Consider the following 24,484-nt stretch of genomic DNA (forward strand, 5'->3'; position numbering starts at 1 on the left):
CCACCACGTGAAGAAGGTGCTTCTTCCCCTTCCCCTTCTGCCATGATGGTAAGCTTCCTGAGGCCTCCCAGTCATTCTCCTGTTAAGCCTGCAGAACTGTGAGTCAATTAAACCACTTGTCTTCATAAATTATCCAGGTAGTTCTTTATAGCTGTGTGAAAATGGACTAATACAGGTTTGAGGGAGGCACATCTCAAACATGCGTGTGCAAACCCAATCATCACACTTACGAACTACAAAAGGATCTCCCCATCTCCCTTATCTTCTTAATCAAGCCTTACCTTTTTCTCACTCTGAATAAACTGTTCCCTGCTTTGCACTCCAGTAGCAGCCTATAGCATTTACTTTATACCTTGCATTATTTTGTTGGGTTTCTCTACATATACATGGGCACATACATAGAGTAGGTTTGGAAACATAAGCAAGAAGTGTTCACAATGTAGATGATATTATTATTATTAAATTGAGCCGTTTGGGTGAGATGTTGATGATAATAACAATGCTCTCATTTGGTTAACAATAAATATTTCAACTTCACAATATACTCCAATACATAAAACGTCTTAAAAACATCAAAGAGCTGATAAAAGAGTGAAAAATTACAAGACAAAAATATAAGCCTGGGCAACATGGTGAAACCCCGTCTCTACAAAACATATGAAAAATTAGCTGGCCATGGTGGCGCACATCTGTGGTAACAACTACTTGAGAGGCCGAGGTGGGAGGATCACTTGAGCCAGGATCACACCACTGCACTCCAGCCTGGGTGACAGAGTGAGACTCTGTCTCAAACAAAAGGGAAAGGGGAAAGGAAGGAAAGGGAAGGGGAGGGGAGGGGAGGGGAGGGAAGGGGAGGGGAGGGGGAAGAAAGGAAAGGAAAGGAAAAGAAAGGGGAAGAAAGGAAAGGAGAAGAAAGGAAAAAGGAAAGAAAAGGAGAAGGAGAAAGGAAAGGAGAGAGAAGAGGGGAGGGGAGGGGAGGGAGGAGGGGAGGGGAGGGGAGAGGGGAGGGGGGAGGGGAGGGGAGGGGGAGGGGAGGGAGTGGAGGGGGGAGGGGAGGGGAGGGGAGTGGAGGGGGGAGGGGAGGGGAGGGGGAGGGGAGGGGGAGGGGAGGGGAGGAGAGGAGAGGAGAGGAGAGGAGAGGAGAGGAGAGGAGAGGAGAGGAGAGGAGAGGAGAGGACTCTAAGAGGTAAGTGAAGGACGATAGACACCTTTGCCCTGAAGGCATTTGCCAACCTTAGAGAAATTGTGCTTCAGTTTAGATGACTGAAGCTTCTTAAAAGGAAACCCACTTTCCTTAAAACTAAGACTCTAAAGTGCTACATCCTCAAGGTAATGGTAAAGAAGAAATAAATCCATCCCACTCCACTCTACCTCATGTCCAGGGAACCTCAAGAAAAGTTGTCCTTGATATAAACAGAGAAACGGAAAAAATTATCTCTTCGAGGTTATAATTGCAAACTTAGTGCCTTATAGATTGTAACCTATATACCCACATCACCTAAGTAGTTCAAAAAAACTTCAAGTTCAGCTTAAAGTGGTCCTGAACTGGTAATACATTTAGGCACCTAGAAGAAGCAAATGCAAGTTCTTTCTGGAGGAATGTACCTTCACCTAAGGCAGTGCTATCAACCAGGGTGAAAATTTTCACCAAAAAATTTCAAGGAAAATTAGCAACTCACAGTAAAAGTAAATACAGAGTGAAGGAAACAAGGCACAATGAAGGAGTATCAGCAAAAATAATTGACAAAAGACCTATTTTTTGAAAATCAAATATTATAATAGGATTATCAGTCATTTTAGAAAACTATCCTTACACTGAGAAATAAATGATCCATTTTTTTCTTTTCTTTTCTTTTTTTTTTTTTTTTTGAGATGGAGCTTTGCTCCTTTTACCCAGGCTGGAGTGCAATGGCGCAATCTCGGCTCACTGCAACCTCCGCCTCTGGGGTTCAAGTGATTTCTCCTGCCTCAGCCTCCCGAGTAGCTGGGATTACAGGCATTCGGCACCATGCCCGGCTAATTTTGTATTTTTAGTAGAGATGGGGTTTCTCTCCATGTTGGTCAGGCTGGTGTCAAACTCCTGACATCAGGTGACCCACCCGCCTCAGCCTCCCAAAGTGCTGGGATTATAGGCATGAGCCACTGCGCCCAGCGATGCACTTTTAATTATATGTAGAAACTGGAAACTCTAAAAATGTAAGCTAACAGGTGTTTCTTCTTTTTCTTTTTTTTTTGAGACAGAGTCTCACTCTGTTGCCCAGTCTGGAGTGCAGTGGCGCAATCCTGGCTTACTGCAACCTCCGCCTCCCAAGATCAAGTGATTCTTCTGCCTCAGCGTTCCAAGTAGCTGGGATTACAGGCATGCGCCACCATGCTTGGCTAATGTAGCATTTTTAGTAAAGATGGGGTTTCACCATGTTAGTCAGCCTTGGCTTCCCAAAGTGTTGGAATTATAGGTGTGAGCCACTGCACCTGGCCAACAGGTTTTTTTTTAACATTAGAAAATTTCTCAAAATGAAAAATACAGTAATCATAATTAAAGTTGATAATTTGATAATCAATTTTAACAGAATAGATTCAGAAGAAGAGAGAATTAATGAACTAGAAGATAGGGTGGACGAAGTTATTCAAACTACAACAAAGAAAGCAAGAGACGTGCTGGGCACGGTGGCTCACGCCTGTAATCCCAGCACTTTGGGAGGCCAAGGCAGGTGGATCACAAAGTCAGGAGATCAAGACCATCCTGGCTAACACGGTGAATCCCCGTCTCTACTAAAAATACAAAAAATTAGCCGGGCGTGGTGGCAGGCGCCTGTAGACACAGCTACTCGGGAGGCTGAGGCAGGAGAATGGCGTGAACCCCGGAGGCGGAGCTTGCAGTGAGTTGAAATAGCGCCACTGCACTCCAGCCTGGGCAACAGAGTGAGACTCCATCAAAAAAAAAAAAAAAAAAAAAAAAGCAAGAGATGAAAAAAATGAAAGCCACGTTAAGGAGAGGGTAGAGAGAATGGGACAGATGCAATATTTGAAGAGATTAATGGCTGAGAATTGTCCACAGCTGATGAAAGACACCAAGCCATAAATTTGAGAAGTCCAACAAATCCCAAGATAAATTTAAAAATACACATCTATTAAAACTGCAGAACACCAAAGACATAAATATAATAAAAGCAGCCAGGAGGTGGGATATGGAATGGAGTAGGGAGAATATATTCAAATAAGCAGCGTGCAAACAGCTAATTTTTTTTTTTTTTTTTGAGACGGAGTCTTACTCTATCACCCAGGCTGGGGTGCAGTGGCGCGATCTTGGCTCACTGCAACCTCTGCCTCCTGGGTTCAAGCAATTCTCCTGCCTCAGCCTCCTAAGTAGCTGGGATTACAGGCACTCGTCACCATGCCTGGCTAATTTTTTTTATTTTTAGAAGAGACGGGGTTTCTCCATGTTGGCAAGGCTAGTCTCAAACACCTGACCTCAGATGATTCACCTGCCTTGGCTTCCCAAAGTGCTGGGATTACAGGCATGAGCCACCGTGCCCAGCCAAACAGCTGAGTTTTTAATAGCAACAGTGGAAGTCAGAAGACAAAGGAATAATACTTTCCTTTTTTGTTTTGTTTTGTTTTGTTTTTTACAAAGCACTAACCAAGAAGCAGGGAATACACTACTACACTAAAAGATAAAATACAAAGTCTTTACTCAGAAAAAAATTCTTGTAAGAATGAAGGCAATGGGAGGTTGAGGCTGCAGTGAGCTGTGATTGCACCCCTGCACTCCAGGATGCCAGAGCAAGACCCTGTCTCAAAAAAAATAAAAAATAAAGAATGATGGCAAAATAAAAATGTTTCCAGAAAACAAACAGAGATCATTCACTAACAGAAAAGAAACATTAAAGGAAATTCTAAATGATACATTAAGGCAGAAGGAAATAGAATCAAATGAAAGGTCTGAGACGCAAGAAGGAATAGTGAGGAAGAAATATGATAAGTCAGGCACTTTGGCTAATGCCTATAATGCCAGCATTTTGGGAGGCTGAGGTGGGAGGACTGCTTGAGCCTAGGAGTTCGAGATCAGCCTGGGCAACATAGAGAAACTATGTCTCTACAAAGATTAGCCAAGCATGGTGGTATACTCCTGTAGTCCCTGCTACTCAGGAGGGAGGATCACTTGAGCCCAGGAGGTGGAGGCTGCAGTGAGCCAAGATTGTGCCACAGCACCCCAGTCTGGTGACAGAGCAAGACCTTATCTCTTTGAAAAGAAGAAAGAGAGAAAGAGAGGAAGGAAGGAAGGAAGGAAGGAAGGAAGGAAGAGAGGGAGATAAATAAGCTAGATGGGGGTCGTGGAAGTCAGAAGTCAGAATCCACTAAGGAGTATGTAAAACTTATCTGCTGAATCAAAACAATTAATTAAAAATTTATTTAAAAATTTTAAGGGCCGAGCATGATGGCTCATGGCTGTAATCTCTGCATTTGTGAGGCCAAGATGGGATTGCTTGAGACCAGGAGTTTGAGACAAACCTGGGCAACACAGGGAGACCCCATCTCTACAAAAAAAAAAAAAAAAAAAAAAAAAAAAAAAAAATTAGCCAAGGCATGGTGGGGCATGCCTATAGTCCCAGCTACTTGGGAGGCTGAGGCAGGAAAATCGCTTCAGCCCAGGAGGATGAGGCTGCAGTGAGCCATCATCGTGCCACAGCACTCCAACCTGGGCGACAGAGTGACCTGTCTAAAAAAAAAAAAATTTTAAGTAATGTGATAATATATGGTAAATATCAATGAATAGGCCAAGTGTGATGGCTCACACATATAATCTCAGCACTTTGGGAGGCTGAGGTGGGAGGACCACTTGAGCCCAGGAATTGAGCCCTGGGCAACATGGTGAAACCTTGCCTCTACAAAAACAAAAACAAAAACAACAAAAATTTGCTGGACATGGTGGCCTGTGCTGCTAGTTCCAGCTACTCAGGAGCCTGAGGTGGGAGGATTGCTTAATTCGGGGAGGTGGAGGTGGACGTTGCAGTGAGCAGAGATCATGCCACTGCACTCCAGAGTGAGAGACTCTGTCTCAAAAAAAAAAAAATTGACCACATTATAACTGTAATGTCGTCAGGTTCAAAATAAAAACAGATGAGAATTAAAAATGGCAAAAATAACAAAAGTTGAATGGAGCTAAATAGAACTTAAATTGTGTGTAGCACTGTTAGTTTATGACACTGGGACTCAGCATTTCTATTTCATTGAGCGTTTTCTTTTGGTCTATTAATCAGTTGTTTATTTCTGCTAACATGTAAAAGAAAGCTTATTTGCTGTGAGGTATATAAAATTATGTGTGTACACCTCAATATTAATTCTATTTTCTAATTATATATTTGTAAACTGTTCTATGTTCTTACCATTCTTGTCTTCTTGGTCCATCCTAGACTTAGTGAAGTATTAAAATCTCCTACTTTGTTCATGTTTCTGTCCATTTCTTCTTGTATTCTAACAGATTTTGCTTTGTGCACTTTGTTGTTTTTGACAAATCTGGTTTTATTAAGCCTCTGCTCTCAATCTTGCAATGATTTTCCATTATATGTGGAATAAAAATCTAAAACACTTGTCAAGTCCTACAAAAAGCCTATATGATCTGGTTCCTGGCTACCTCATTTCCTGCCATTCTTTCTGCCAATTTATTTATTTATTTTTGTTGAGACAGTCTCACCCTGTCGCCCAGGCTGGAGTGCAGTGGCATGATCTTGGCTCACTGCCATCTTCACCTCCTGGGTTCAAGCGACTCTCCTGCCTCAGCCTCCCAAGGAGCTGGGACTACAAGCGTACGCCACAATGCCTGGCTAATTTGTGTATTTTCAGTAGAGATGGGGTTTCGCCATGTTGGCCAGGCTGGTCTTAAACTCCTGACCTCAAGTGATCTGCCCGCCTTGGCCTCCCAAAGTCCTGGGATTACAGGTATGAGCCACTGCGCCCCACCTCCAATTTTCTTAAACATGCCAAACACATGCCTATTTTGGGCCTTTAGTGGCTACTCCTGGAGCCTGGAAAGCTCTTGTCCCAACTATTTTCCTGGCTCAATCCCTAAGACTTCATTCAAGATGCTGCTCAAATATCTCCTAAGAAAGACTATCTCTAGTCTCCCTGTGTCAAAATCACATCCCCACCACCCCCCATACTTTCTCTGCTTTTACTATTTTATCATCTTCATTCAATGTATCACTGCCATAGTCCCCCCTTATCCTTGGTTTCAGCTTCCTGTGGCATATTTTGAGAGAGACCACATTCACATAACTTTTATTACAATATTCATTATTGTTAATCTCTTACCGTGCCTTATAAATTAGGCTTTATCACAGGTATGTGTGTAAAGGAAAAAGCATGGAATATATCGGGTTTGGCACTATCCCGGGTTTCAGATATCCACTGGGGGTCTTGGAACATATTCCCCATGGATTACTGTGGGATCCTGTGCTTGAAAATTACGTATTTATTATCTTCAGTATAATGTGTTATGGGGGTAGAAACTTCATTGTTGTGTTCACCAATGTATCTCAAGCTGGTACACAGTATTCAACAAATATCTGCTGAATGAATGAAACGTATTGCTTTATTATTTGGTTGTTCCTCTTATCAATATTAGTTATCTTCTAGAATGTGGTTTTGCTTTCAGTTCTACTTTGATATTAATACTGTCACCATCATTTTTTGTTCATGAAGGCTTGTCTACTTTTGCCTGTATCTTAATTTTTACTCTCAGTTTGTGTTTCTCTATTCCAAGCAGCAAATGTTGCATATATTTTCATGTTGTTTTTATTTATTTTTTATTTTTTTTGAGACGGAGTCTCGCTCTGTCACCCAGGCTGGAGGGCAGTGGCGTGATCTCAGCTCACTGCAACCTCCGCCTCCCTGGTTCAAGCAATTCTTCTGCTTCAGCTTCCTGAGTAGCTGGGATTACAGGCACCTGCCACCATGCCCAGATAATTTTTTTATTTGTGGTAGAGATGGGGTTTCACCATGTTGGCCAGACTTGCCTTGAACTCCTGACCTCAAATGATCCGCTCACCTCGGCCTCCCAAAGTGCTGGGATTACAGGCGCAAGCCACCGCGCCTGGCCTTCATGTTGTTTTTTAATTCGAATTGTCTTTTATATATGATATTATATATGATATTAAGCATATATATAAATTCTTTTATATATGATATTAAGCATTTCCATTTATCCAGTTATTTCTGTAATCCTACATTATGTTTTATAAATTTTGTTTTCTTAGTATTTCATTCCCTCTGCTATTTGATAAAACTTACTTTCTCAGACTACATGACATGCTAGCTAATGGCAAAGGGATAGGAAATGGGAAGTGGAGGACATTATAAAATACCAATCACAGCTTCTTGACCAACGGAAGCAAGCAAAGTCTGTACTAATCCCCATTTATTCTTTATCCTGGTGTGTGTGTGTGTGTGTCTATGAAACATTTTCAACCAATTTCTTCTTTTTACTCTTGATGATTAAATTTGTTTGTTGGTGGTAAATTTTATAATTTGGTCCTTAGGTTACAGAATATCACGTTGAGATTTTTGACTGAACTAGAAGAATAATGAACATCACTGAGAAACCCAGAGATTGATCAGACTTAGCATCTTCCCTCTGGAGGAGAGTATGCATTTTTTATTTTGTTTTGTTTTGTGACAGGATCTCACTGCAGGCTGGATTGCACTGGTGTGATCTTGGCTCACTGCAGCCTAGGCCTCCTGGACTCACTCAGGCGATCTTCCCACCTCAGCCTCCCCAGTAGCTGGGACTACAGGTACCTGCCACCATGCCCAAGTAACTTTTCTGTAGAAACGGGGTTTTGTCACGTTGCCCAGGTGGGTCTCAAACTCCTGGGCTCAAGCGATCCTCCCACTTCAGCCTCCCAAAGTGCTGAGATTGCTATGCAGCGCCTAGCAAAGTACATATTTTTGTTTAAATGAGAGAAGCTGCATTATTTCAAGAGGGAGAATGGTGGTATAGCTACTGCTGTTGTTTGGGAGTATGGCTAGAGGTATGTATAAAAAATGTTGACTACTGGCCGGATGCAGTGGCTCACGCCTATAATCACAGCACTTTGGGAGGGTGAGGTGGGTGGATCACCTGAGGTCAGGAGTTCAAGACCAGCCTGGCCAACATGGTGAAACCCCGTCTCTGCTACAAAAATTAGCTGGGCGTGTTGGCGCATGCCTGTAATCCCAGCTACTCAGGAGGCTGAGGCAGGAAAATCGCTTGAACCCAGGAGGTGGAGGTTGCAGTGAGCCGAGATTGCACCACTACACTCCAGCTTGGGCAACAGAGTGAGAACCCATCTCAAAAAAAAAAACAAATGTTGACTACCAAGGTGAACCTCTGTGGACAGAACAGATTAGAACTCTGCATCTCCTTTGAGTATACTTTTGTGTTAGTACACTTTCCAGATTTCCCTGAAGCTAGGGTTCTAGATGCAAACTTAGTTTCTCCATCTAACTGCATGGTGCCAGATTTTTTCTATAGCAGTGTCTTGTTGTTCAGCCACTTGCTTTGTAGGTGTCAAGAGAGTTTTTTGTGGAAATAGTAGTGGCAGCAACTTCCTCACTGGTGGACAACAACTTTAACAGTGTGTTCTTGAAGTCAAAAGTCCAAGGTAGGCTTCCTGACTTCCTCTCTTCTTGGTTGGAGCAGAAGTAGTAGCATTTATGGCTGGTCCGGCTGGTCATGTTTATGGTGCAATCTTTCCTGGAGACTCATCATAGAGCCCTATCTAACCATTCTGTAGACATCTAGTTTCCTATATTAAATGCTTTCCTGCTTATGTTAATGTTTTTTGATTCTTAAATCCAGACCCTGATCGATAAACCAAAAATTCAAAATTTTTCTTTTTCCAGCTAAATTTCATTTAAATGAGTTGCTCAAATGTTCATTTAGCCTCTTTTCACTGAGTAAGAAACTTAGTTTTGTAAATAGTCTTTGGCATTAACTATCCTTGATTAGTCTGAGCATATATGATACAAAATGTAACGCCTCTATTCCCAGCACTTTGGAAGGCTGAGGCGGGAGGATCGCTTGAGCCCATGAGTTGGAGACCAACCTGGGCAACATAGGGAGACCCCGTCTCTACAAAAAAAAAAAAAAATTTATATATAGTCAAACAAGTTATTTCATCTCTTAAGGCAAAGAGCTCTCTGTCTGTGGTTCAACACATTGTTATCCATTGGGCAAAAATGATCATTGCCATGCTCTGATAGTTTTAAAATGATCAGACAGGAAATTCATTATATTGCAAACTGGTGTTCAGAAATGTTAGGATTTTCAGTATTTTTATTTTCCAAACATTATTTTAAAAGAACATTAAAAGCATTAGAAATACAAATCTTGCCTAATGGTTAACATACGAACAATTATTATAAAATGTTTAAAATACGTCACATACTTTGCATCACAGTAAGCATCAAGAGAACTAATTAACATATCCTGATAATTAATCATATTCAACTGAATTCTCATTACTTTTAGTTCTCATTTTAGCCCTTATGAAGAGATAAGTTATATATTTCTACCTCCACCTGTATCATCATGACACCTTTATTATGATAACACAGGTAGAAGTAGACATATATAACTTACGAAGAAAGAAGTTATGTCTCTATAGATATAGAGATATAGATACGGACGGGGGCTATGAATCGAGCCCACTATGTATTTCATGCAATTTATAACAATAATTTTTTTAACTTTTCTTTTGGAGATTATTTTTTGATGAGCATAAAGAGACAATACCTCATATGCACCTGCTTAGTTTTCTTTGTGCTGTAATTTTTACCTCCCAATGATGGGCCTCATGCCAGTCAAATCATCTCAAACTCAAACGTCACACAGAAAACCTGCCATTTTAAATTTTATAAATAGAAATTACTTTTGTGTTAATATTTTATTGTATCACATTTGAAATGCCTAGCCAATTTTTGTATTTTTAATAGAGACAAGGTTTTTTGCATAGCCAAAAAAATAGATATATGCCTTTAAAAATGTGATGCTTGATTAATGTTGTCTTCATTATAAAGCTGTTTGGCACACTGGGGTAAATACCAGGTTTTGAATTAAGACAAAAATCTAATTCCTAATTTGCCACAATTCTTTGTACGATCTTGGGAAAGAATATTAGATTTCTTAATTCTTTGTTAAAAAGAGATAATAGGCCAGTGCACTGGCTCACGCCTGTAATCCCAGTACTTAGGTAGGCCGAGGTGGGTGGATCACAAGGTCAGAAGTTTGAGACCAGCCTGGCTAACTTGGTGAAACCTTGTCTCTATTAAAAATACAAAAATTAGCTGGGAGTGGTGGTGCGTGCCTGTAGTCCCAGCTACTCGGGAGGCTGACACAGGAGAATCGCTTGAACCTGGGAGGCGGAGGTTGCAGTGAGCCGAGATTGTGCCACCGCACTCCATCCTGGGCAACAAGCATGAGACTCCATCTTAAAAAAAAGAAAAGGGAAAAAGGGAAGGAGGGAGGGAGAAAGGGAAAGAAGGAGGGAGTAGGTAGGCAAATCAGTCTAAAAGGTGAACTTAAAAACAAAATAATTCGAGGCTGCCCCTGGGTGTGGCAAGAAAAAAATTTAGAAGAAAAAGAAAACAAAAGAAAATCTATGCCTATTTAAATCTCAAAAATAGAAATAACTGATCAATACTGAAAGGTAACAGTTATAAGATAAGGTTGAGCAGAGTTCTAATTGAATATCTATTCTGTCTTCTCTATACCTCTCATGACCCCTGTATTTGGGGAGAGCTGAGGGAGGAAACTATAAATTAAATGCCTTTCAGCTGGATGTGGTTTCTCATGCCTGTAATCCTAGCACTTTGGGAGGCCGAGGTGGGTGGATTACTTGAGGCCAGGAATTCAAGACCAGCCTGGCTATCATGGTGAAACCCTGTCTCTACCAAAAATACAAAAATTAGCCAGGAGTGGTGGCGGGCACCTGTAATCCCAGCTACTCTGGAGGCTGAGGCAAGACAATCGCTTGAACCCGGGAAGCGGAGGTTGCAGCGATCTGAGATCATGCCACTGCACTTTAGCCTGGGTGACAGAGTAAGACTCTGTTTCTACAAAAAAAAAAAAAGACTTTTACGCAAAGGAACAAAGTACCTTCCAATCTGCAATAATAACTCTTGAATATAACAATTTATAAAGATAGGTGTTGTATATTGATGCTCATCTTGTGTGTCTAACATTTAAAAACCTAGTGAGTTCAAATACTAACTGTATACTGAAAATATTTTTACAATAAAATATGAGTTCACAGTTGTTATGCTAGGAATCTCAGAGCATATAGTAAAATTAGTTTCAGGTATAGAAATACTTAAATCTATTTTTTCTTTCTGCCCATTTCCACTTTAAGATTAATGGGAGAGAAATAAAATGATTAGTTTGAAAATAGATTATCTTGAGAATTTTTCTACCATAATAATAAATAAAGACAAAAAAGAAGTCATTTCTAAATAGTTACTTGAATACTGTCAGGTGGTTAGTAAACTCTTCTCACACAGAAGGAAAACATAAATCAAAACATTCCCAGTCTTATCTGTAAACCTTGTTAAGCAATAATAAATATTGCCCAATGCATGACAGGAGTCCACACTGTTTTCCACAGAACACCGAGATGATTACCGCAGTGCCTTCTCTCCTGGGAACAGTGCACCTCTACCATAGATGCAGTCCTCTTCACTAGGCTTCTTGAATAAGATCATTCAGAAACAATTCACTTTTGGGCCAGTTGGGGTGGCTCATGCCTGTAATCCCAGCACTTCGGGAGGCCGAGGCAGGCAGATCACCTGAGGTCAGGAGTTCAAGACAAGTTCAAGACCTGTCTCTACTAAAAAATACAAAAATGAGCTGGGCATGGTGGCACACGCCTGTAATCCCAGCTACTCAGGAGGCTGAGGCAGGAGAATCACTTGAGCCCGGGAGGCGCAGGTTGCAGTGAGCAGAGATCATGCCACTGCACTCCAGCCTGGGCAACAGAGCAAGACTCCCTCTCAGGAAAAAAATAAATAAATAAATAATTCACTTTTAACAAGCAAAAATATATTTCTTTTCTTTCTTTCTTTCTCTTTTTTTCATTTTTTTGAGATGACATCTCGCTCTTGTCACCCAGGCTGGAGTGCAATGGCACGATCTCAGCTCACTGCAACCTGTCTCCCAGGTTCAAGCGATTCTCTTGCCTCAACCTCCCGAGTAGCTGGGATTACAGGTGCTTGCCACCATGCCTTGCTAATTTTTGTGTTTTTAGTAGAGACGGGGTTTCATCATGTTGGCCAGGCTGGTCTCGAACTCCTGACCCTCAGGTGATCCACCCGCCTCAGCCTCCCAAAGTGCTGGGATTACAGGTGTGAGCCACCATGCCCGGCCCAAATATATTTCTTTTCAAAAGAATTGTAAACCTACTCAACTGACATAAAACATGTCTATAATAAGAAATGGCAATAATCATAATACTATATTCTTAGTTGACTGTCCTATGAAAGAAAAGTACCTAATACCTGTGTGAGTGTTTTTGGTAAAGACAGAGTTATCACCTTTTCTGCCTTAAGAATATATATATTTCTGGCTAAGCACAGTGGCTCATGCCTGTAATCCCAGCACTTTGGGAGGCCGAGGCAGGCGGATCACCTAAGGTCAGGAGTTGAAGACCAGCCTGACCAACACAGAGAAACCCTGTCTCTAATAAAAATACAAAAATTAGCCGGGCATGGTGGCATGCGCCTGTAATCCCAGCTACTTGGGAGGCTGAGACAGGAGAATCACTTGAACCCGGGAGGTGGAGGTTGCGGTGAGCCGAGGTCATGCCATTGCACTCCAGCCTGGGCAACAAGAGTGAAACTCCGTCTCAAAAAAAAAAAAAAAAAAAAAAAAAAAAAAAGAATATATACATTTCCTTTAGAGACAGGGTCTTGCTGTGTTGCCCAGGCTGGACTCATAATCCCGGGCTCAAGTGATCCTCCTGCCTCAGCCTCCCAAGTAGCTAGGACTACAGGTGCATGCCACTGCACCCAGCTAACAATATATTATTTATTCAAATCAACCTGCTACCAACAAGGTGTAGTGTTCCCGATTTCAACACTTCAAAAAATCAAAATTTACAATTCAATTAATAAAAATAACACCTCAGCAAAAATCATATTTTCACATTCTTTAAAAAAAATCCAGTCAATACCTTATTTTGAAGTCACATAACACTGACTCAAATCATGATAATCGGTTGACTTTCTACTTTAACACAGTAGCTTCATTCCTGGCATCTATTTAAAGGCTCGGTACAAAAGACTGAGGCAAAGAGCAGGGTAAAAAATCTAAAACTTTCACATCAAATCTTAAGATGTCAACAAACTACAAAGCAAATCAACAGATACTGACACATCAGATGAAAGAAAACCATAACTGCCAACTTTTCAGTTGAATCTTGTAGGTTTTGATCCGCCACTGATCTCAAGTTAGAATAAAGTCCATTACTATCAGAAACAAAAACTGTTTACATAAGATCCTATAGCCTCCATGACTTTAAACGGAGGGGACTGGAATCTGCTTGGCTGAAGTGCTGTCATATTCCTGCACTAAGTCATTAGTGGTGTGATAATGCATGGCAATATATGAATTGGCAAATCCAAAAGAGTTTACTGGCTGTAAGTTACATGGGCTGCTCTCCTCCTGGGAAGGGCTGCTGTTATAGATGCTGTAGTAAGGTTCAATCCGAGTGTTGATGGGGGTCGAGCTGCTCTGACCACAGTGTTGATGTCCAGCAGAGATCTTGGGACTCACCATACTTTCTTTTGAATGACTTGGGCCACAAGCCTGGTCCACAAATTTCTTCTGTGGCTTTGGAGATAACATGTAGGCAGAGTTTGTTTCATGATGGGAGGATTTGTTTCTGTTGACTTCGAGGTTCCCTTTTCCCATGGCTCGAAGTCGAGTCTTTTGTTTGCAGCAGAAAAAACCCAGGCCTATGTATTGGAGGCACCAGAGCACTTTCCTTCTCAGCCCTGCACTGTTCCGAGAATATATAAAAGGGTTTAATCCTGACTTGAAAAATATAAGAGTAAATCCAAACAATTCAAACTGGTAAAGAATGAAGCTCCCATTGCTGGAGAGAACCACCTGTACCAAGGAAATCCCCAGTGGAAGACAGCACACCAGGACTGACAGCACAATGATCACACAGGTGACCACGGCTTTGGAATCCTTGGCAGTGGAGAGGTTGATGGCTGATACGAGCTGGAGTCGGCTTGCTGCAGGGGTGACCAGTTGGTTGGGACTCTTGGTATATCCACGGGTCTGAACGTGCTGCAGTTTGTTGTAATTCTGGTTCCTATACAGAGCCGGCATGGCACACTGGATGGGATCTCCACCTCCCTGCACAGGGACCCCCATGAAAGGCTGTGGTCTGGAAGCATCGACTGTGATTACAGGGGGGCACTTTCTGACTTGAGCGTTCTTCCGCAGGGTCTGAGCAATCATGATGTAAGAGACAGAGACCACAGCAACACAGAAGGTGAAGTCGACCACATAGAGAGACAAAATGGCTTTCCCTTTTCCAGCAATCAGACTGGACATGGGAAGACAGAGGTGGGACTTGCTGGTTTTCAAGGTAGCCAAGGTGGCAAGGGTGAAACTGGTGGCCCAGAGAAGCAGGGTGAGGAGTACGGTGCAGGGAAAGGAGGCCGTGCGATTAGGCTGTTTCCCCAACACCATCCGGAGCCGGTGCAGGGCGATCACTGCCACTGTCTTCAGAGACATGATGATGAAGCCTGAACTGGTGAGATGGAAAGTGAAGCAGAAAGCATCCGGGATACTACTGGCTGAGCTGAAGAATAACACAAAGGTGAACATGGGGGCTGTCACTCCACAAATGAAGAGGTCACAGAAGGACAGGTTCAGGATCATGAAATCAAAGTTGGTTCTGAATTTCCTGAAGGCTGGATCGAAGAAGGACAAGAAGACAATGAAGTTGCCATAGGAACCCAGGCAGAAGATGACCGCCAGTAGAAAAGTACAGGTCACCAAGGTGGCTGTGTGGATGAGATCCTGAAGACCCTCCTGGAGAGAGGTGCTGTTTCCTTCCTGTGAGTGAGGCACATGGAGCGAGGTGGCATTGGGGGCATCCTGAAGGTGGCCTGTTGAGTTCATTTTCGGAGAGAAATGTCTCCTTCTTCTGCTCCCCAAAAATACTCAGTGAGTCAGGGCCTCAGCTCACAGATGAGCAATATGTGACAAAAGAGGCCCAAGACAGATAAGCCTACACACAAAAATGCACACCCAGAAACAGAAAGGGATTAATGTAGAAACAGAAAGGAATTCATACAGTGATCTCATTATTAGTAGTAGTATTAGTACTAGTATCTCTCACCTTGAGAGAAAAATTTATTCATTTATTAGCAATGGGGTCTTACCATGTTGCCCAGGCTGGACTTGAACTCCTGTGCTCAAGCAGTCCTCCTGGCTTAGCTTCCCAAGTAGCTGGGACTACAGGCATGCACCACCAAACCCAGCTCTCTCTCTCTCTTTTTTTTTTTTAACAAAACACTAGAATTTTTCAGCTCTGATTTGGTGCATAGACAGCATTTCTCCTCACAAAGGCCAACACAGAAAAAGATACAAATACATTCATCCAGCTAATATTTAGTTTTATGACACAGAGGTTTTCAAACAAGTTTAAGTGTCACCTGAAGAGCATGTTAAAAAGTTTAAGTTATCACTTGGAGAGCAGATTTCTTGGCCTCGCCCCTTGTGATTCTGTTTGAGGGGTGTGCAGATGTTACTTTTAGAAACACTTCTGTGTCAGGCACTGAAGATACACAAGAACGTAATCTCTCCACCAAAGAGATGACAATCTAGTTGGAGATCAATCTAACTATGTAATAATTACAGCCTAATAAGGTTGCAGGGTGCTATGAGAGCATGGAAGGGGGGAACCTACTCCAACATGGAAAGGGAGCTGGGAAAGGATAAAGGGAGCTTTAGCAAGCACAGGCCAGCTGGATGAAAGGTCGGGGGTATGGAGTGGGGACAGACAGGCTAAGAGAAGTGGGGGTAGGTCTTTGCAGCAGAAGCACTGCGGCAAAAAACTGCATGTGCTTGAAATATAGGCTGGAGGGTATTGTTGATGCATAATGTGGCCCTTCACATAATTCCCATAAATCATTAACAAACCCTGTTTCGTTCCCTATGAAGAATCCTTTATTTCCCAGTATTTATAATTTTTCCCCCAGCTTGCAATTTCTTGGCCAATTAACTACATATTCTCCTTTGGAAAAAAACCTTGTGTAGGACTACATGTGAGACGGAAAACTGGAAGTAACCAAGGATGTTGGAATTATATTAGAAATTTACAAGGTGCAAAGCACCACATTGTAAAGTCTAAACTGCTATATAAATGTGAGTTACCATTATCCCAACAAGAATATCCTGATGGTGAAGCAGGAGGCATGCACCCATTCCTGCATTCGTTCGCTCAATTTATATTAATTATGTGCATACCATATGCCAGCATTACGCCAGGTGCTAGGTGCTACGATGAGTAAGGCAGTCTCTACTTTAAAAGAATAACTTCTTGCTCCTTTTTCCTAACTTTTTTTTTTCTATTTTGCAATGAGACTTAATGTGCACTCACACAAATCTACATTGTCCCAAATCCCAAAGTCCTGCAAGGGTTGGTGCCCAACCTGCTCCCAACAGATGCTTCTGGTGGGACCGACTAAGCTGTTCCTTGGAGACAGCACTATGTTCTTGACAACCAAAAAGGGTTTGCCTTAATCTAGAATTTTAGGAACAATAAGTGGCACTGCAGAGGTCCAGGGCTGATGTTCAGTGTACTTAACCACCAGCTCAAGCTGGATCCCAGAAGCCTCCAGCTGTTAACCCTTTAGTTGCCAGATCAAGGGGGTACAGCGGAATGAACCAGGTCAGTCAGGGATTACCTGGGGCTCCAATTAGCAGCTATGGACTACCCAATACAGAAGTCTCTCCACATTTAACAACAGATACAGCCATGCCAGTGACTATCAGACATATACCAGTCCTGGGAAATCCATATAATTGACTGGTGTCCTTAATCAAGGAAAAAGATAACTTAATCTATATTCTTAACATTCATATGGTACAGATCAGGACGATATGGTGAATTTGTCCACTGGAAAGTGAGACCAACTTTTCTATACTTTCCTTTCAAATAAAAGTTCCATAAGAGAAGAAAATCCTGAACTTTTGTTTCTTGATGGTTAGAATTTTTTAAAAATAGTACCAGATAGCTCTATTTCCACTTAAAGGCTGTATATTTGTTTCTGAACACTTTTGATACCTATATAATGAGAAAGACAATTTTTTTTTTTTTTTTTTTTTTTTTTTTGAGACGGAGTCTCGCTCTGTCGCCCAGGCGGGACTGCGGACTGCAGTGGCGCAATCTCGGCTCACTGCAAGCTCCGCTTCCCGGGTTCACGCCATTCTCCTGCCTCAGCCTCCCGAGTAGCTGGGACTACAGGCGCCCGCCACCGTGCCCGGCTAATTTTTTTTTTGTATTTTTAGTAGAGACGGGGTTTCACCTTGTTAGCCAGGATGGTCTCGATCTCCTGACCTCATGATCCACCCGCCTCGGCCTCCCAAAGTGCTGGGATTACAGGCGTGAGCCACCGCGCCCGGCCGAGAAAGACAATTTTTTACTGTTTTTAAAAGTTGCTAACAGGAGTATTACAGCTAATTTATGAAAAGGGAAGTAGAAGAGAAAACAATTTGAGGAGGCAGGAAGAGCAGGGAGGTGATACTGGTGTCTCTAACCCCCTTATCTCCAAGGGTTTCCTCTTTGGAGGTAGAGAGATGAAGAGGGGTGAAGAGGGATGCAGGAATTTGGCCTGGGGAAATTAGAAGAATGAGGAGTCTGGAATTAGGATGCTAAGACAAATGAAAAGTAACTAGGTAATAATGAAGCGGGATGATGGAAGTTATGAAGACCTCAGGCTAAGAGATATTTGGAAAAAGGGATTAGGAGAAAAATGAGATGATGAAGCACTAACATTAGTCAAGAATAGGAGGCAGGAGGAAAAAAGGTGATTTGGGGTAGAGGAGAGGCAACTTTCACGTTTTGTACAGTTACATTTTTTCAACAAATTTTAAATTTTTCAATATATATATTTTTAATAGAGATGGAGTCTCACTATGTTGCCCTCACTGGTCTCCAACTTCTGGGCTCAAGCAATCTGCCTGCTTTGGCCTCCCAAAGTGCTGAGATTACAGGTGTGAGCCACTGTACCCAGCCTTCAGTAAATTAAAAAAAATAAGAATTCCAGGTCAGGAAATAACAATGGCAGTATAATTATCAGCATCATTATTAGTATATTAATTTTATCAAGTGCTTATGATGTGCCAGGTACTTTTCTCAATGTTCCACACTATTAGCTTATTGAGTCCTCATAACAACCCTGAAATACTTGATATAACATCTCCATTTTGCAGATGAGGAAACCAAGTCAAAGAGAGGTTATCTAAAGTGGTGGAACATGGATTTGAATCTAAGCAGTTGCTCTTCCACACTCTTCACCACCATGCTAACCCGAACAACAAAAAAACCTTTTTGGGAGGCATCCCCAGGTCAGAAGTATTAAGTGGTTATTACACACCAGGCACCTATTCTAGAGGCTTTACATAAATTATCAAGCTTTATTTCATTCTCACAATAATCCTATGAATAGGTATTGCAATCCCTTCCCCACTGAAACTTTCTGGAATCCGAAATTCTGATACACCTATATAGCTATATCTACATCTATGTAGATACAGATAGACACACACACACACACACACACACACACACACACACACACATTCTTCTATGTATCTAACTGTAGTTCACATATAAAGTAATCATAAATCACTCCTATTGAGATAATTAGAAAAAAAGGAATCATGGGCTGGGAAGAGAAAAGGGAGAAAAAGCAGAGGACAGAAAAGACGAAAAGGTTTGCAGAAAAACTTTAGTATAACAGAAATCAAGAAAATGGAGGGAAAGTAAACTCAGGTCTTAGTAGTAACTCCTGAGACTTTAAGAAAAAGGAGGCTGTGACCATAATTTGGAATGACATGATGACGGCAGAAAATAAAAGTGGTTTTGGAAGGGGAATAAATTAATACTGCTTTGCTACTCATAAATATTCAATAAAGATTACCCATGTTATTTGCAATGCAAACATACAAGCTACTCTTCATCTCTGGGACGGAGAATAGGTTATAGAAGATGTGATTAAAGTCACAAAATCAGAAAGATTTTAAGCTGGAACACCAGTCTTAAGCATGCATATTAGCTGCAGTAAGAATGAATTCACATGCATATTCTTACAAATGAGACATCCTGAAGTAACTAGCAAGCAAAGAATATGGATGAAAATTTATTGTATAATTTGAGTGGCAATGATTTTTCATTAAGATATGTGAACAGCCTCTGATATATCTAGTGTGCTGTTTTAAATTTTTAGTGAACATTAAAACATGCTATAGGGGCTTTCATAAATCAACTCACGACCTGAATTCTTCCAACCCCATTCCCCGCGCGCCCCAAAATGTCTTAGGTTAGCATTTTCAAAGCCTAATCCTCACAGAGAGCAAGGTTCTGTATTATTGTGATTCCCATTGTATTTCTATCGATCAGGAAAACCTCAGGGAGGTTAGATAACTTCCCCAAGGTCATTATCTGATTTCAAAGCCCTTGCTCTTTCTATCCAGTAGAACTACATTGAACCCGGAGCAGCTAATGGGATGGGAAGACCTGAGTCATTTGATGGGAGGGATGAAGAGGCCAGGGAGCCCCCAGCCTGAGGACAGAGTGGGAAACTGCGGGCAGGGAAGGTCGACCCCCCCGTGAGGGGCTGGCGGTGGGTAGGGGCTTCCCGGAGAAGGGTGAGGTGACGGTAAGGAGGGCCTAGGCCGGGCCAGGTAAGCTTGCAAAAGAATGCCGCAGAGGGGTGGTGGGTTAGGAGGGCTCAGCCAGGGTAGGGGCGGTGGGTGGGTGGGTGGGGGGGGTTCCACGGCCGAGCAGAGCCTGGGAACCGGCAGGGACGGGCGAGAAGGCTACCCTGCAGGCCGCACCAGGAAGACAGGTACGCGGAGCCGGGCCTGGCCCAGCGCAGCCGCGCTCCTCGCTATCCCGCCAGCCTCCGGGAGCCGTCTCCGGCATCGTGGGGTTGTCCTCCTCCAGGGGCCCGCGGCCTCTCACCTGCCGGGTGGCCGCAGCGCCGCCCCTCCTCCATCTCGCAGTCCGGACCCCAGCTCCGCCTGCCGCTCTGGATGATGCAGGACTAGAGGCATCATCGCCATCGCCACCGCCTCCGCGCATCCCGGGAGCCGCGGCAAGACGCGGGCGCAGAGGCGCAGTCACGGAGACGCCGAGGGCACCGCCCCCTCCGCCGGACACCCGGGCCTGGCGTCCCGCCTGCGCCCCGCACCCTCCGCGCCTCCGTCGCCTGCCTCCTGGGGCCCAGAGCCCGGCCACTCCCGCTGCCCGCCTCACGAGGGGCGCTTGAGCCAGGTTTTTCAGGCTCGCAGTTTTGCTGTTTGGGGAACTCAAGCTCCCTGAAATAGCCAAAACCTGAAACGCAGAGCAAGGTGGAGTGGTAAGGAAGGAAGGGAAAGATAGGGGTACTGATGGCACGCAGGGACCCAGGGAGGTCTTTGCGGGCCTCCCTAGGCTGCTTACCCTGCCCGCAGCCCACCTCCTCCTCGTTCCCCGCGCTTTTAAGACGTCCTAACTAGCTCCTCACTTAGGCTGCGGCTAATATTTTTCCTCATGAATTAAATTGGCGGCGGCTTCCAGTTTGGAACTTTGAGACCTAGAATTTACAAATCAAGTCATTGTAATAGAATTTAAATTAAACCTATTTGAACTTACCTAAGCTCTCTTAAGGTATTAGTGAATTCACTGAGGGAACTCAGCAAGGGGACTAATTGGCAGGAAACATGCAAAGCATAAAGAAACTACCCATGCAAATAAAACGACCAAGCCCAGGAATCATGGATATTGATGTATTACTTAATACTATGTTGAATGTAAAAAATCTTGATAAATCATAGTGCAATGTACAAGCTAATTTTATTAAGCACAAACACAAAACTAAAATTACCATCCTCTCTCATTCTTCTAGAATTCATACATGTCCAAAATAATGAACTCCTAAGATAGGTTTTAGTCTGAACAATCAAGTAACATTCCTAAGTATGTCTGCTATGATGGGTACAAAATAAAACCAGTTAAACTCTTCTCCCTTCAGTATCCCAACCTGGCTAACTAGGATCTTACTACTTTTCTAACCTCAGGGATGCTATTTAGAAACAGAGAATGTTATTTGAATGCCCTTTCCTTCATTCACTCTGGTTACCAGAAAAGCAAAGTTGATTCCGTTCGGATGAAATACTTATACTGGATTCTTCATTTTAGCTAATGGTTTATCTTTTTAAAACAGAACTAGCAAGTATCAAGTAATTTAATTAATGCAATTTCTTCAGTTCCCTGTGCTTTCATAAAAACAAAACAAAACAAAAACAAACGAAAAAACAAAAAGCAAGAAGGCTAGATAACTTATTATTCAGTCCAGGAGTTGAGTATGCCATCAGAATTCTGTTTAGAAATAACTTCAAGAAAGTTTTCCAGTTCCCACATATTCCACTTCCCAACCACTTGCAATAAAGCAGTTCCAGTATATGTTATCAATAATGGTAACCATGAGTCCCAGAAACAATCCACAGAAAAATACTCATTAGCATTTGGAGTGGGAATTCTGATCAAAATTATATACCTCTCTATAATAAATTAGCTACTGCATAAATAAATGCTAGTTCATTTCCAGGCATTTGGCTATATGAATGGAGATTACAATAGGTTTGGGCTGCATTGAGACCATCAGAGTTATACCTACCGGAGAAATGGTCTGAAACTGAAAACAAACAAAAAACCACAAATCATAAAGGATTCTAGAGATCTAGAAGAGGAAATCAGGACTCATCAAAGTTCCAGAACTAGCTAGAACCATTCAACAAGGCTAAAACTAGTATATCTACAAAATCCACAAGTGAGCGAAATTGGAAAAAACATTGGTAGTAGTAAAAAAATGGAAAATCTGCAAATAAATAAGCAGGGCTAATTATAGATCATGAATTGGCTATCAATCTGCCCTGACACTGGCATTCTTCTAATACACTCTTATTATTGCAATGCAAATGGATACATGTGCACTTTGAGGAAAACAGCAAATATGAGAGCTGTTAAAATGTTCTTTAAAACAAAAAAAGCTCCTCATCTAGGCATCTCTCACTCCTTGGAACTGCTCCAACAAAAGAAGAGTTTTAAAGCATAAAGGTATGAAAATGTGCACTGCAGTGTAATCTGTAGTACAGGAAACTGAAAACAACCTTGATGTTCAAAAGGAATACTTAAAACAATTAGGATATACTGAGAAGACGAAGTCTACAAAAACAGTTATGAAGGCCACGTAGAAAAAGTTACTTTTCCTGTGATGATAGCTCATGATTTTTTTATTTTTGTGAGACACGGTCTCATTCTGTCACCTAGGCTGGAGTGCGGTGCCGTGATCTCAGTTCACTGTAACCTCTGCCTCCCACATCAGCCCCCCAAGTAGCTGGGACTACAGGCACGTACCACCACACCCAGCTATTTTTTTCTATTTTTTGTAGAAATAGGGTCTTTCTATGTTGCCCAGGCTGGTCTCAAACTCTTGGGCTCAAGCGATCCTAAAGTGCTGGGATTACAGATGTGAGCCACTGCGCCTGGCCAAAATTAATTTTTTAATAAAACAAAATTGCTCTTTAGTCTTTCTGGCCACACTCCTAATTACCAAAAGTGGCCTGCGGCTTAAAGGGCTTGGTAATGACAAGTATTTCAAATATTTGAAAACAGCTTTATCATATATTTGCACCTAAACTTTCATTTACATTAATAGGTGAGTAAATTTTCCTCCTACATTTTGAAGGACAATCTGCAGTCTTTGCTTTCTAAAGGATCCATTCAGAAACTAAAGATTTATTTGACCTTATAAAAAGATAAATAGGCTTTTTCTTCTCCTCACTTCTCATCCACCCTCAGAGAGTGGCCCATACTGTCTTCCATGCCCAGTCAACAGTGACTTCCAAACACAGGTCAGCCTCTCCCCTCCTCCTCTAGTAAATCTTGTTACCACCCTTAACACAGTTCCTGCTGTCCTCATGCTTTTTAACACACCATATACATGTTAAGAACTATCTTAGACCATACAAGCCATGCAACTCTTTTCTCCACCCCCTTTCTCCTTTTCCCTCCTGGTAGAAAATTTCATTTTTCCTATTGGTAAACAATTAATTCATAGGACAATGTCACTAGGGAAATATCAAAGTAATAAGCGACTTCCAAACCCAGAATCAGAATCACCTGGGAGCATGTTAGGCACTCAGATTAAGGTACCCTCTTTTTAGGTCTGTGGTGGGATTCGTGTGGTTCTCAAACCTGGCTGAACAACTGAATCATCATAGAGCTTCTAATACTGTAATGCCTAAGCACCCCTGCCAGAGAAGTTTTCACTGAGGAACAGAGAGGGCACCCAGTATCTTACATCTTTGTTTAAAGTTCCCATTTAGGAACCATTGCTAAGGCAGTTTCATACAGCTTAACTAAAAAAAGCTGAAGTGGTCAACATACAACATAAAGCCTCACTTCTCAACGTGTGGCCTCAGGACCAGGAATTGATATCATGAAGTGGGAACAATGAATTCCCTGTACATTTAAACAAAATCCCCTCATGATTCTTAGGCACATCAATTTAAGAACCAATCAGTTAGGATCAGGCACGGTGGCTCACACCTGTAATCCTAGCACTTTGGGAGTCCGATGCAGGTGGACTGCCTGAGCTCAGGAGTTTGACCCCAGCCTGGGCAACATGGTGAAACTGTCTCTACTAAAATACAAAAATCAGCCGGGCGTGGTGGTGCATGCCTATAGTCCCAGCTATTCTGGAGGCTAAGGCATGAGCATTCCTCATGGGAACATGGGAGGCAGAGGTTGCAGTAAGCCAAGATTGTGCCATTGCACTCCAGCCTGGATGACAGAGCAAAACTCTGTCTCCCACACCTCCACACAAAAACAATCAATCACCTAGGTCAGTGCTAGGTGAACTTTCTGTGATGATGGAAAAGTTCATCGATATTATTCAGTGTGGTAACCACTAGCCACATGTGGCTCAAGAGTATTTAAAATATGCCGGTGAGACTGAGGGAATACATTTTTTATTTAATTAAATATAAATAGTCAGATATGGCTAGTAGCTACTGTATTGTACAGGGCAGATCCAGATAATTTATACTGGTCAGAGGACATACATTTACAGATACAAATCTATGGCTGCAAAAGGAAATCCACAGGAGTCACTGCCTACAGAACTGTCTTCTCCTCTTAATGAAGACAAAAGCCAGGTG

General features: G+C 42.3%; 2 protein-coding genes, 1 non-coding gene and 1 pseudogene across 3 annotated transcripts in view; all 4 read right to left on the reverse strand.

The window, feature by feature from the left end:
* GPR75-ASB3 (GPR75-ASB3 readthrough) overlaps positions 1-20,383 on the reverse strand; it is a 189,675-nt gene extending 169,292 nt beyond the window's left edge. The window contains exon 1 of the mRNA NM_001164165.2: positions 20,244-20,383. Coding sequence (NP_001157637.1) covers positions 20,244-20,344 — 101 coding nt within the window. The 5' untranslated portion in view covers positions 20,345-20,383. The remainder of the gene's footprint in view (positions 1-20,243) is intronic.
* On the reverse strand, positions 149-245 carry LOC124906183 (uncharacterized; annotated as a pseudogene).
* On the reverse strand, positions 9,538-9,621 carry MIR3682 (microRNA 3682). Its single transcript, NR_037453.1, has one exon. It is a non-coding gene; the product is annotated as a microRNA 3682 (primary transcript).
* On the reverse strand, positions 13,328-20,383 carry GPR75 (G protein-coupled receptor 75). Its single transcript, NM_006794.4, has 2 exons — positions 20,244-20,383; positions 13,328-15,281 (listed from the first exon to the last, which is right to left on the reverse strand). Exon 2 carries the CDS (start codon positions 15,170-15,172, stop codon positions 13,550-13,552), a length of 1,623 nt encoding a protein of 540 aa, NP_006785.1. The 5' UTR covers positions 15,173-15,281; positions 20,244-20,383; the 3' UTR covers positions 13,328-13,549.
* Positions 20,384-24,484: the final 4,101 nt, after the last annotated feature.

The sequence above is a fragment of the Homo sapiens genome, chromosome 2 (genome assembly GCF_000001405.40).
Source record: "Homo sapiens chromosome 2, GRCh38.p14 Primary Assembly".
NCBI lineage: Eukaryota > Metazoa > Chordata > Mammalia > Primates > Hominidae > Homo > Homo sapiens.

Coding starts and splice junctions, on each gene's coding strand:
- GPR75 (NM_006794.4), bottom strand. CDS start 15,172: ATGAACTCAACAGGCCACCTTCAGGATGCCCCCAATGCCACCTCGCTC.